The sequence below is a fragment of the Homo sapiens genome, chromosome 21, assembly GCF_000001405.40.
Source record: "Homo sapiens chromosome 21, GRCh38.p14 Primary Assembly".
Taxonomy (NCBI): Eukaryota; Metazoa; Chordata; class Mammalia; order Primates; family Hominidae; genus Homo; species Homo sapiens.
In genome coordinates, this window is record NC_000021.9 from 23,808,827 (window position 1) to 23,823,183 (window position 14,357).

At 37.4% G+C, this 14,357-nt stretch overlaps 1 long non-coding RNA gene across 2 annotated transcripts in view, besides 1 other annotated feature; it reads left to right on the plus strand.

Moving 5' to 3' along the window:
• Positions 3,230-4,429: an enhancer, noted in NCBI's record as "BRD4-independent group 4 enhancer chr21:25184373-25185572 (GRCh37/hg19 assembly coordinates)". NCBI's record gives its function as "activates an origin of replication core promoter dependent on BRD2, P300/CBP, MED14 and CDK7 cofactors, and independent of BRD4, by STARR-seq in HCT116 cells {active_cell/tissue: HCT116}" and the evidence as "EXISTENCE:reporter gene assay evidence [ECO:0000049][PMID:35650434]".
• The window catches only part of LOC105372750 (uncharacterized), a 63,784-nt gene continuing 53,217 nt past the window's right edge, over positions 3,791-14,357 (plus strand). For both annotated transcript variants that reach the window (XR_937612.2, XR_937613.2), the window contains exon 1: positions 3,791-3,911. This is a non-coding gene — a long non-coding RNA (uncharacterized LOC105372750). The remainder of the gene's footprint in view (positions 3,912-14,357) is intronic.

Sequence of the window (14,357 nt, forward strand, 5' to 3'; positions counted from 1 at the left end):
TTCTCCTGCCTCAGGCCCCCCGAGTAGCTGGGACTACAGGCGCCAGCCAGGACGCCTGGCTAATTTTTGTATTTTTAGTAGAGACGGGGTTTCGCCTTGTTAGCCAGGATGGTCTCAATCTCCTGACCTCGTGATCTGCCCATCTTGGCCTCCCAAAGTGCTGGGTTTACAGGCGTGAGCCACCACGCCTGGCCGAGCATTGATTTTATATTTGAACTCAACTAGTATTTGTACATTTACCTTTTCTCTCAGTTCTTCTGAAAAATAGACCAGTTCTGTCCTTAGAACGTTCTTCTCATAATTTATTGTATATAGTTTATTCACAGAAATAAACTTTTCAAAATTTATTATATGTAGTTTATTCATAGAAATAATTTCAAACTCATTTGCATAGATATACCCATAGTCAGATCCAGTAATATTTTTTATACTACAGTTCAGGCCATAGTTTTGTTAAGATTTCTGTCTCTACATATCATTAGTTATCCTTTTTCTCAGCCTACAATAACATTTTTCTCACTTTCTCCAAGTTTTTGCCGTAACTGCCGATTCCCAAGGCTATAACATAAGTTTAATGTTTTGTCACAGCAGCACTGAATTTCTAGTACTAAATTATTTTTCAAGCATCTAGTTTTATATGAAATAACACTGTAAAAGCAGATTACAAAAACCACAGTCGTTTAATTTATCTGTGTATATATATCTTATGGTTACCTAAGTGAGGGCAGGTTTGTTTTTTCTCACATAATTTCAGCTGGGATGGCTCAACTTGGGCTGGATGATATCCTTCCAAGTTAGCTCACAAACTGGCGAAGGTGTTCAACGGAGTTTCACAGTAGTTATAATACAAATCCAAATGAGACATCTCCATGTAGGGGAAAAAAAAGTCAGCAAATAACCACAGACCTTGGACAAATTCCAATATGCTTCACTCTTACTTTGCATCCTCAGGACATTGCATTCAAAATACAATCTTTATCTCTATTCCCCAGTGCCTCTGTAAGATAAGACAAGAAGACAACACAGAAGAGGAGAGTCCTTCTCAAGGTGCTGCTCACTCCTCAGTCCTTTAATCCAGAATTTTCTCATTCAAAACACCCAAGTAAGAGATTTCCTAACTGAGCTTTTCTTAAATTGATTTCATGAAACTATAGGTTATATTAAGTATCCGAAATGGTATGTAATGATGTGCATTTTTTCTTCAGTGTAAATCCATGGAAAATATCTTTCTTCTGAGTAAATTCAGTGAGTTAACATATAATTAATAAACTGCTTCCATTGCACCCATGTTTTTCCTACTCTCTTCCCTGTCCCTTCATGTCAATATTCCTTTTAAGCTTGTACCCAATTTTTCACCCTAACACATTAGTTGAAATGGATTTCCTCTTTTCTACCTCTATCTATAACTGATTCTTCCAAGACCTTTTTAAGAAACACTGGTATCAGAAGTTCGATACCATCCTGGGCAATGACGAATCTCTCTCTCTCATATTTTGTTGTTGTTGTTTTGTTTTTGAGACGGAGTCTAGCTCTGTCACCTAGGCTGGAGTGCAGTGGCATGATCTCGGCTCACTGCAACTTCCGCCTCCCAGATTCAAGTGATTCTCCTGCCTCAGCCTCTGGAGTAGCTAGGATTACAGACATGAGCCATCATGCCCCGCTAATTTTTGTATTTTTGGTAGAGACAGGGTTTCACCATGTTGGCCAGGCTGGTCTCAAACTCCTGACCTCAAGTGATCTGCCTGCCTTGGCCTCCCAAAGTGCTGGGATTACAGGTGTGAGCCACCATGCCTGGCCTCTACAAAAAATAATTTAAAAATTAGCTGGGCATGATGGTGCACACTTGCTGTTCCAGCTATTTGGGAGGTTGAGGCAGGAGGTCACTTGAGCCTCGGAGGTCAAGACTGTAATGAACCATGATTGCATAGCTGCACCACAGCCTGGGTGACAGAGCAAGACTCTGTCTCAAAAGAAAAAAATAAAGAAGGAAAAAAAAAAAGAAAAAGAAAAGAAATAAAATACTGGTATTATGAGATTTTTTTCCTGTCTTCTGCAGGCCAAACTGATACGCCTTTTCCATACAATGCCTATGCTTCTAATAGTTCCCTTGCACGACAAAATTCAGATTTATGATTCCAAACTGCCTCAATTTTGCAATATCTTTATATTAGTCTTTGTTTCCATGGCTTATACCTGGACTCTGCCTTTTTGTTTGTTTCTTCCAATCTGTTAATCCTTTAGATGACATTCTGATACTTTAAATTTAAATGTTAGTAATACTGATCTGGTCACTATATCTACAATTCCTCCATTTTTCTAGTGTTTTCAATATTTTTGTTATTTAACTAGTATTTGAATATACAATTGGCACAATAATGACATTGGATAAATGTCTGTTCACTGAATGAATTGGTAGATATTTCATCTTCCAAACTAAACTAGAAGTCAATGGTCAGAAAACACTAAATGTTGTTGGACTAAATCAAAGTAAATAAATGAACAGTGTTTGTGTGTGTGTGTGTGTGAGAGAGAGAGAGAGTGAAAAAGAGAAGGAAAGAGAGAGAAAGAGAGAGAAAAGAGGTAAAGTGACAGTGTCCTTAAAACCTGGCGAGATGCTTTAAATTTCTAAATGACCAGCTTTCTCCTAGAAAAAACATTAAACCCTAGAAGAGTTTGATTCAACAGTTTGCTCCTTTTCTAAGACATTTAGATAGGAAAGTTTTCATATGCAGCTGTTTTATTTTTAACCTTTGATTATTACCATTTTAAATGTTAACTCTTGTTCCAACATTGGCCACAATTTTCTGGTCACCTTTATGTCTAATTTATTAGAATTCCTTCCTTGTTTTCCTGACCCTTTTCAGGATTTATATTTCAAAATTTGATCATTTTCTATCTCTGAAGTTTGACATTGCTAATATTAAGCCTTAAAATTAACCTTTAAGTACCTAAGAAGTTTTTAATATTTGCTTTACTTTCTAAATATAAATTACTGTCTTAGCTTGGGATGCTATAACGAAATACTATAGACTGTGTGGCTTAAACAACACAAATTTATTTCTCAGTTCTGGAAGCCAGGAAGTTCAAGATCAAGATGCCAAAACGTTTGATTTCTGGTGAAGGCTCACTTCCTGATTTGTAGACAACTGTCTTCTCACTGTATTCTCACATGGCATAGAAAGCTGAGAGCTCTGGTCTCTTCCTGTTTTCAGAAGGACTCTAATTTCATCACAGCAGCTTTATCCTCATGGCTTTATCTATGCCTAATAACCTCCAAAAACCCCTCCTGCAAATACCAACACATCAAGGGTTAGGACTTCAACATACACATGTTGACCAGAGAAACAAACATTTAGCCTATAACAATGATTTGGATTTATTTATGGAGAAGGAAGCTATAGAAGAATAACTAAAATGCATAAAGGCAAATTGAATGTTCAAAGGGTAAGCATGGGTCTGATTGTTAATATCACTATTAGCTCAGCTACAAATGAGCATCTGGAGCAATAGCATCTCTCTAGGTTTGAAGAGGTGAGCGGCGGTGCCTCAGCGATCTCCTCTGCAGCATAGGAAATGATGGCTGTTTCTTTCCGCTGGAAGCATGGCCACGAAAGCCCTCCTCTGAAAGTGCTCTTGCTGTACTGACTTTGCTTGTCAACAATGTGGCACTCCTCACTTAACAGACACTCCCTACATCAGTATTGGGTGTCCTCTGAAGGAAAACTGAATCTTCCCCACCTCACTTTCCTCTTTATGCCATAACTGAGTTCCGGAATGTGAAAGCCTACACTGCTGGATCTGCTGTGTGGACTTGACCCTGACCAGGGAGCTCCAAAAACCGGTGATGATAACATGATGTAATTGAGAGTGAAAGGAAGGCAACTGAGAGGATAAGAGAACGTAAACAAGAGGTGAGTGTATTCCCGAGTTAGTTATGCAAAAGTGAACATCATTATATCTTTGAAAGTTATTTGTGGGGTTTGGTATTATCTATGAGAAATGTACCTTTTCAGTGCTGAGTACAGAGTGAACCCTCAATATTTTGCTGGTAGTGGTATAGTTGTTCTTGAATGGATCAATGAAAGCAATTGCACAAGGTACTGTTTTGGAAAGAAGAAAATGAATATGCATACAGCAAATGTATAATATTTGAAAGAAAAAGAGGATAATCAATCTATTTAGTACTAATTTTGCATTTAGCACAGTTCATTGGTGACTGACAGTTTGCAATTTTTCTACTAAATGATAATGAGAAAACACAAGTAATTTATATTTTCACCTAAACATCATATTACTTTCTGGTGTCATACGTCCTAAATCCTTTTTTTTTTTAATTTTTTTTTTACAACTTCCTGAATGCACTGCATTTCTTACATTTAATAATGTCAAGACTTTTCTCTGTAGGGTTTACATTTGATTTTGCCACACAATAGACAATTTCTAAGGCAACATATAATTCCAATCCATTAGGCTAATGGATTGCAGCTGCTGTGAACAGTGGGCAGGTCATTTTTCAATAATGAAGTCTAATAACACATAAAAGATAAAGATAAATAAACTGAAAAAAATGACATGACTCTATATATAGCTAATATAAGTGCTTGTTTCTATTTATGTAAAAATTCAGTGTTTTTTTTTTCTTTTTTTCTAGAAAATCCTACTAATTTTACATGGCTAACAGAACTTTTAAAACATGAACATCTAATACATATGAATAATTGCATTATAAAATACTCAAGAAAGTCATTAGAGTAACAGACTTTGCTTTTTATAAATCATGTTTAATCAATATTTTTATTTCCCTCTTTTCAATTTCTATGTGTAATAAATCTATTGTAATTACTCACCTTCACTTATTTATCACACTAGTTGTTATAGATTTTGCTTCTCCAAAGGAGCAAAGCTCCAATTTGCTACCAAATTGGCAAAGCTGTCTGGTGGAACAATCTGTTCACAAGAAGAGTGAGACCTGATACCACAGCAACGCTGCCAGAAGTTCATGATTTTAACTTTGACGGTTTTCTGTCTTCTGTCTGTCTTTCTGAGAAAAGTATATTGTTTTGGCCGGGCGTGGTGGCTCACGCCTATAATCCCAGCACTTTGGGAGGCCGAGGCAGGCAGATCAGGAGGTCAGGAGATCGAGACCATCCTGGCTAACACGGTGAAACCCCGTCTCTACTAAAAATACAAAAAATTACCCGAGCGTGGTGGCGGGTCCTGTAGTCCCAGCTACTCGGGAGGCTGAAGCAGGAGAATGCTGTGAACCCAGGAGGCGGAGCTTGCAGTGAGCAGAGATTGCGCTACTGCACTCCAGCCTGGGTGACAGAGCGAGATTCTGCCTCAAACAAACAAACAAACAAACAAAAAACAAAAACAAAAACAAAAAAAAAGTGTATTGTTTTACTGTTTTCTGAAGCTTAAAAAATGACAAGTTATATATTTATTATTATACCTGACTGTTCTGATCTGAAAACTGAAATCCCCCACCTTGGCTGAAGAATAAAAAGGAAATGCAAAGTACTAAACCCACTGGTTTTAGACCCATATGTTTATATGGGTTCCCAATCAACCATATATTCATTAAAACTGCCTTTCTTAAAATAAATATTCTTCCCCCTTTTTCTATAAAACGTGGCTCTGCCTTCATCGTTGTTAAAATGTATTCCATGGTAGTAGGTAAGTGAAAGTGTCTGTCTTCGTATATAGTAAATGTCTACACTATTTCCATTGTTTATTCTGAGAGGTTTTGTTCTAAACTTATGTTTTTATTCTTCATCAATATCAATTTATATCAATATATTTTTGTATTGTTAATGGAAAAGAAATATACTACTCTGGATGTTTACATATATATCACATTACATATCACCATATTACATATGGTGTGTGTATATATATACACACACAACATATATGTGGAGGGTGTGTGTATATATATATATATATACACACACATATATAAAATACCACATGTGGAGAGTATATATATATATATATATATATATATATATACACTATATGGAGAGAGAGAGAAGGAGACAGTCAGAGAGAAAGAAAGGGGACAAGTCAAGAGCAGAAAAGAGAAAAGAGAAAGAAAAGGAAGAAGAAAGGTTGGGGGAGAGAAGAAAGGATAAGTACTACAGACCTCGAGTTACACAGAATGTTTAATATATATACTTGGTAGGATTTGCACACACATGCACACACACCCAGACACGAGCACACAAGATTCCTAGAGTCGAGAGGAAGGATGTGAGAAAATACAGTTAGTAAAGCCCAACTAGGAATAGAGTATTAGCAACATCTATCTTCCTTAAAGAAATGGAGGTAGAAGAGTGAGATGGGGTATTTTGGAAAATACGAGATGTCTTTATTCTGTGGAAGTGCTGAGATGCCATTATATGAGGATTTTAGTGCGCCCTCCCCACCAGAATTTATGGTGACATGGAGGCTCCAAGGGAGAGAGGGGTTTGGATCTCTCCATACTATAAGAAGAATTAAAATTAATAACAGAAATGTGTCTCTATCACCACCTAGAAGGGGAGTGCTGAGGGTGGTGTGAGTGTGAGAAGCCTGAAAAAGAGTTTCTATGAATTGCAGATGCTGCTGAGAACTGCTGGACCAGCTTCCCTCCTCAGCCAGTCTGAGTGGCCAACACATTGTTGGGGCTCATGCTAGTTCCCACAGAGGGAGCATGTGTAGGTCTGAGGGGACAGCACAGCTGCATGCTGGCCAGCAGCAGGGGTGACAGGAGTGGCAGCATCAGGGCAGAGAGCTCAGGTAGAGCCCACGTGGTCAGCTGCCTGGCTAGAGAGTACAGGTGACCCACATGGAGGGTGTTGCCTGCAGCAGCTCTTGGGTGTGAAGGAGACTAGCCCATCACACTCCATAGGCAAGAGGTCAGAAATGATCTCGTCCTTGGGGGACAGATTTTAGGGAGGGAAGCCAATGAGGAGAGCTCTTATTTATATTTTCTCCCTGGGTGTTCCCCTGGTGCTACATATCAGAAAAGAAAGACCCCCAAGTGGTCAGACAGAAAAGACCCTCAGAGTGTTTTCAACTTCTTCCAAGTGCACATGGGAGGAAGGTGCAGGTGAAAATGCTGGGCGCTTGAGAAGCAAGGATTTAAGACCATACTTTGGCTTAATCTATGGCTGGTCCTCCTCACTCTGAAGTTCATGTACAGTTACTCAGAGCAAATGGGAGGTCACTGGGAACAACATCTGAAGATGAAGCAGCCCAGGACCTGCCCAAATCCAGGGACAACATCTACATGGGTCCATGAGTATGCAGGACGGTGGGGGTGAAGTCCAGTGTTCAAGAGGATAGCATTATTTGGCCCCACCCTGCAACTTCTAAGGAGGGCCCTGTTACAATCACAGCATTTTCCTGGAACTCTTTCAGGAGTGTAAATAATGTGTATTGGGAACATGAGGCTTTCTTTCAATAAGCTTGTCTAGAGATGTTGGGCTGTCACAGTAGATAGAATGGCTAGAAAATGGATTGAAATTTTTACTCTTCATCTGAATAGTTTGACAGCCTACAGACATATGTAATGTTAACCATATGTCATCGCCTTCAAATTCTTTTCAAAATTGCAAAGACGGTATTATTTTAATTGTGTGAACTAATTTTTAAAGAGCCAATTACCTGATTTTTTTTAAATGGCATCTGTATGTACCAGCTAACCTTGCCTAAAGAATTTTAAATTATTTTATAGCTTGAGACCATCTTATACTGTAAAAATTTGAAATCTCCTTCCTAGAAAAACATTTCAAAATAGACTCTCTTAAATGTAGACATTCAATGACATCTAAAGTAAATGGTATTTTAAATTTAGCTAAATAGAGTACTTTAGATTATAACATCCTCTTTCCCACACATCTGTCTCAAGTATAACTGTTAAGATTTTGCTAATACAAACAACTGTGAATGACCTTCTATTAGCAGAAATCAACTTGCAATAAGCTATAAGATAGTACTATAAATTAGTATGATTTGTGGTTATTGTCATTCTTTTTCTAAGGCCTTACAAGACGAGGTTAAAAGTGGGATTGAATTTGGAGAAGCGTTTCTAGGAAGGGGAACTGGTGAGGGGGCCCCTTATCCAGTTTCCTACCTGGGACATACTAAATATTAATAGTTGTGAGCATCTTTTCATGTGCTTATTGGCTACTTGTATAATCTTCTTGGAAGAAGTGTCTATTTAAATCATTTTACATATTATAAAATTTACCATTTTAAAGTATGCAATTCAAGGGTGTTATAGTATACTCACAGTTGTGTAGCCATCATCACAATCTAATTTTAGATTATTTTCACCACTCCAGAAAGAAATCCATTAGCAGTTTCCTCCTCCCATCCTCTCCTCCCTCCAGTTCCTGACGAGCACCAATCTACTTCCAGTCCCTATGAATTTATCTATTATGGCCATTCCACATGAATAGAATCTCACAATATGTGGCCTTTTGTAAAAATTTACTTCACTTAGGTTAATGTTTTCAAGATTAATCTATGTTCTAGCAGGTAACATTTTTCATTGAGGAATAATATCCAATTTGATACATATACCACATTTTGTTTATCTATTCATCAGCTAATGGACATTTGGATTGTTTCAATTTTTTGGCTGTTATGAGTATCATGTACAAGTTTATGTGTGGACATATTTTTATTTCTCTTAGGTATATTCCAAGGAGCAGAATTGCTGAGTCATATGGTTTACCCTTTAGGGAAACTTCCAAACTATTTTTCAAAGTGAGTGTAACATTGTAAAATTCCACCAAATGATGTGTGAAGTTCCAGTATCTCCACATTTTCAACACTTATTATTGTGTTTTCCTAAAATATATTTTAGCTACTTTCGTGGGTATAAAGCAGTAATCTAATGGTTTGGGTTTGCATTTTCCTGAAAATGAATGCAATTGACATCTTTTTAAGTAAATACTTGTCCATGTGGATATCTTCTTTCTGGTAATATTTATTCAAATTCTTTTAACTGTTTTTTAATTCTATTTTTCCATCTTTTAATTGTTGAGTAATGAGTTCTTTATATTCTGGATAGTAAACCCTTATTCCAAAGGGTGCTTGCTTTAGTCAAACTCTTTTCCTTTATCTACTGAGGTTATCAGATAATTTTGTCCTTTATTCTGTTAATACAGGATATAGATTGTTTTTAATTGAATCAGCATTGTTACATCATAGTCTTTTCTTATATACCATTTATCTTAAAATCAAAGAAGAGAAACCTGGGGGAAAATGCCCTCAAGGCAAAAAGTATCTGTCCATCTAACTCAATACAGCATTATCCCAGGATAATCTATATACTTTATTTATTCAAACAAATGATATTTATTCCCTAATACGTACCAGGGGATAAGGAAATCTAAAGGCATAACATTTTTCTCTGGGATTTCACAATGACTAAGGAAGAAAAATGACAATTGTGGCACAATTCTTGTCATTTAAACATGATTTAAACATTACACATCTAGAAAATGCATTCTGAAAATTCTAGCGAAAAAATTTGTAAATTTGTCTTTTTTCTTCTTCTTAGTTTGTTTAAAAAGTATAGTTTATGAGGCCGGGCAAGGTAACTTATGCCTATAATCCCAGCACTTGGGAAGCTGAGGCAGATGGATGACTTGAGGCCAGGAGTTCAAGACCAGCCTGGTCAACATGGCGAAACACTGTCTCTACTAAAAATTAAAAAAAAAAAAAAAAGCTGGGTGTGGTAGCACGCACCTGTGGTCTCAGCTACTTGGAAGGCTGAGGCAGGAGAATCACTTGAGCCTGGGAGGCGGAAGTTGCAGTGAGCCGAGATCCTGCCACTGCACTCCAGCACTCCAGCACTCCAGGCTGGGTGACAGAGTAAGAGTCTTTCTGGAAAAAAAAAAAAAAAAAAAAAAAAAGGTATAGCTTATGGTCCCTTAGAATCTTGAGGAAAATCTAAGAAAATAGAACTAATATGGTAGTACGTATCTTCTTCCATGATAAACTTTATCAGAGTAACTCAAATACAAACCATAGAATAGCAACTAAGCTGTTTTTTTCCATTCTCTTGTTGAAGTGGTTTGAGTCCTTAGCTGGCACCATGATGGATTGGAATTGCAAGAGGGGGAAACATCGAGGAAGGAGAAAGGAAAGAGGTAGCTGGGAGTTAGGGAGAGCCTTTAGACAGGAGAGAAAGTCTTAACAGGGACAACATGTGAAAGGAGGGAGGTAAAAATGGAGATTCATAGAAAAAGATTTCAATGGTAGTGCAGCTCTGAAAATGGAAAGTCTAGAGAAAAGACAGTCTATTAGCATAATTCACTGTTGAGTAGGAGTGACCAAGATTTAGTAACACTTTTATGCTCAACTATTGTCTGGGAGCAAGTATAGTCCAAAATTAAGTATCTTCTAACATATAATAGGGGAGGAAACCTATGGGATCTTGCATTTGGTGATGTGGTTTCAGACCCGAAAGTACAATTGATGATAGAAAAAAAGGACGAACTGGAAGTTATTAAAATTTCAAATTTCTTCTCTGTGGCAATGTTAAGAGAAATAAAAGACGTGCCACAAACTTGAAGAAACTATTTGCAGAGCACATATCTGATAAGGGGCTTGCATCCAAAACTTACAAAAACTAGTATTCAGCAGTATGAAAAAAATTAAAATGGGCAAAAGATACGAAAAGACACCTCACCAAATAAGATACACAGATGTCAAACCCAAGACAAGATGCTCAACATTATTTGTCAATAAGAAATTGCAAATTAGAACAGTGAGATAGCTCTACACACCTAATATAAAGGATAAAATAAAACAACAACAACAATAAAAAAAAACAAAACTCACAATACCAAATGCTGGTGAGGATGTGGAGCAATAGAAACAATGTCCATTGGGCCGGGCAAGGTGGCTCACATCTGTCATCCCAGCATTTTGGGAGGCCAAGGTGGGCAGATCACGAGGTCAGGAGATCGAGACCATCCTGGCTAACACAGTGAAAACCCATCTCTACTAAAAAAATATAAAAAATTAGCCAGGCGTGGTGGCGGGCGCCTGTGGTCCAGCTACTCGGGAGGCTGAGGCAGGAGAATGGCGTGAACCCAGGAGGCGGAGCTTGCAGCGAGACGAGATCGGGACACTGCACTCCAGCCTGGGGGACAGAGTCAGACTCCGTCTCAAAAAAAAAAAAAAAAAAAAAAAAAACAAGAAAAAAAAGAAACCACATCCATTGTTGGTTGGAATGAAGACTAATACAGCCACTTTTTAAGACAGTGTGGAAGTTTCTTACAAAATTAAACATAGCCTTATCAGATATTTCATAGATGGTGCTCCTGGGTACTTACCCAATTGACTTGAAAACTTATGATCACACAAATAATTTTATGTAAGTATTTACAATAACTTTAATTATAATTGCCCCAAACTGGAACAGACCAAGATATCCTGCATAGTGAATGGATAAACAGACTATATACAAAGAAACATTTTCAGCAACAAAAAGAAATGCACTATCATATTATGAGAAGACACGATGAAACCATAAATGCATATTGATAATAAATGATGCCAGTCTGGAAAGGTCCCATAATGTGCAATTCCAATTATATGACATTCTGGAAGGGGCAAAACTATAGAGACAGTAAAAGGATCACTGATTGCCAAGGATTGGAGGAGTGTTGTATGTTAAGGGTTGAGTACTTAAAACATTTAGTACTCACGTACCCCTGAACCTAAAAGTTTTTTTTTTAATTGGGTAATTTTATAGAATGCTGAAACTATTGTGTAAGATACTGTAAAGGTGAATGCAGAGATTATGCATTTGTCAAAATCTGTAGAATTTTACAACACAGTGAATCGTAAGGTATGCGAATTTAAAAATATCATTTAGGCTATGGAGAGATCTGAAGAAGGAAGGCAGACTGGGAAAATCCAGCTATATTACAAATGTCTAAATTAATCTCACAGAAGAAATTGGTGATGCAGGAAAGGTACTGACCTAAGTAACTTTGAAAGTAAGTGCAGTCTGCAAGACTAAAGACAAAATTAACTGCAAATATACCCCCACCACACCACCCAGGGGTGCAGTTAACAATTCCGAAGCTGCTATACATGTATATAGGAATTGAACGATTAAGCTAGTGAATGGCAGATGATGGTTCAAATTTGGAGTAGGCTTTTACAGCAAAACAATAGGAGGAGGCTAGGATGATCCCTGCATAATGGGTTAGAGCTGGAGACATTACTAAGAACTCATGTTTAGCTTAATATGGATACAGTTGATTACATATTAGAAACATTTATTGATATATTAATAGGTGCATACCTAGATTAGTATATGCACATATGTTTCATTTTTTGTCCGCTGAGAGTGGCTAAAATAAATGACACCCCAGTAGTATGAAATATACCTACTGCCCAGATCATAGTTGTTGATATCATAATCCACAAAAAGGAACAGTGTTTCCTGGGGAGATGGCTGAAACTAGGATGAAAGCAGGAAATTTATAAGCCTGAATCACCCTGTAGTGCCTTAAAGTAAGAAAGAGCTAAAAATAAGAAACAAAAATAAACCCATTCCAGAAAACTGAGGTTAGGGGGATGCACAAGGAGCCAACAGGCAAAGCTGAAACAATTTGAGCAACAGTAGTTAAAAAGTGCTTTTGGATGATAACCTGAGGTATAAAATAAACATGCATTTATACTGATATAAATAAATTATTTTGTAAGTTAATAGGGAAGAAGAGATCAAAGAGATAAATCTCTTGCACAGTGGAATACCTAATAATCTATGTAGATACTCTGCCATCAAGGAAGGGAGTATAACTTCTCCCTTCTTTTTTTTTTTTTTTTTTTTTTTTTTGAGACAGAGTCTGGCTCTGTCTCCCAGGCTGGAGTGCAGTGGCACAATCTCGGCTCACTGCAAGCTCCGCCTCCCGGGTTCACACCATTCTCCTGCCTCAGCCTCCCGAGTAGCTGGGACTACGCCTGGCTAATTTTTTTTTGTATTTTTAGTAGAGACGGGGTTTCACCGTGTTAGCCAGGATGGTCCGCCTGCCTCAGCCCCCCAAAGGGCTGGGATTACAAGCGTGAGCCACCGCGCTCAGCCAACTTCTCCCTTCTTAAGAGTCCGCTGTGCATTGTGACTTCAATCCAAAGAGTTCAATATGGAAAGCAAAGGGGCAAAAAAAAAAGACTAATGTTATGGTGGAGAAACTTGACAATCACTACTTCAGTCATGTGATCAACTCTAGGTCAGCAATCATAAATTATGTTAGTGGTATGTTCCCTCAGTACAATGTAATAATCATGGCACTTCATGAACTTCTCTTCCAAACCTATAACTTTAGTCAAATCAAAGAAAAACATCCAAAAAATTCCAGTAAAGCAGCATGCCATAATATACCTAACCATATTCCTCAAAATTCTCAAGGTCACCACCAACAAAGACAGACTGAGATATTGTCAAACTGAAGCCAACAACAAAATGAAACGTGGGATGCTGCAAGGAATCCTGGAAAAAAAAACAAAAAACAAAAAACATCTATAGCACACAGCATCAAGTTCCACCGGCTTTAGTGGATATGCCTAAATTGTTTCCCAATCTTACCACCTACAATTTCATCGACTCTCCAAAACTATCTTGTGAAGTGGAAAGAGAATGGATTTTTTAGTCCACTTTATATTTAGAAAACAACAAAAAAAAATGAATCTTTAATGAATCATTAAGATGAATCAGGACATATTAGTAATATGGAAAACTGGAATTAAATCTGAAGATGTGGCAATCTTGTACTTAAAATAATAGTGCAGTAGCAGCTGTAGAGATTGAGTTGCTGTTGCAGCAGCATAATTGATATCAACATGTCTTAGACGTGAATATAATGTAAATATTGCTAATTCTCTATTTTAGCATACCCTGGAATTATCTTTTTGTGTCATATAGAAGCAATGCAGTAGAGAGCAACCAATCCACCATGATTGTTTCCTGGCATATTTTCTTTAATCATTATCACATAGCCAGCGGATTTATTTCGACCATAATAGCAGATGATTTATTATTTTGAGGCTACAGAATGAGACAGCTGAAAGGGGGTTTTGAAATGGAAATTGTGACATTTACTGTGGGAGCAATGATCTTATACAGAAGCCAGGTGGTGACTGTTTACCATTCAGACAGATGGAGGTCCTGCAGTAGAGTTATTTGTGTGTGTGTGTGTGTGTGCTTATTTTTTTTCTGTTAGAAAAATTAGCTTAAATAATTCAAGTTTCTTTTTTTCTTCCTTGCTAGACTGGTGCACTGTGCAAAACGAAGTATTAAAAGACTTTTTCTACTGAGCAAAATGCAGTTTTGTGTATATCGA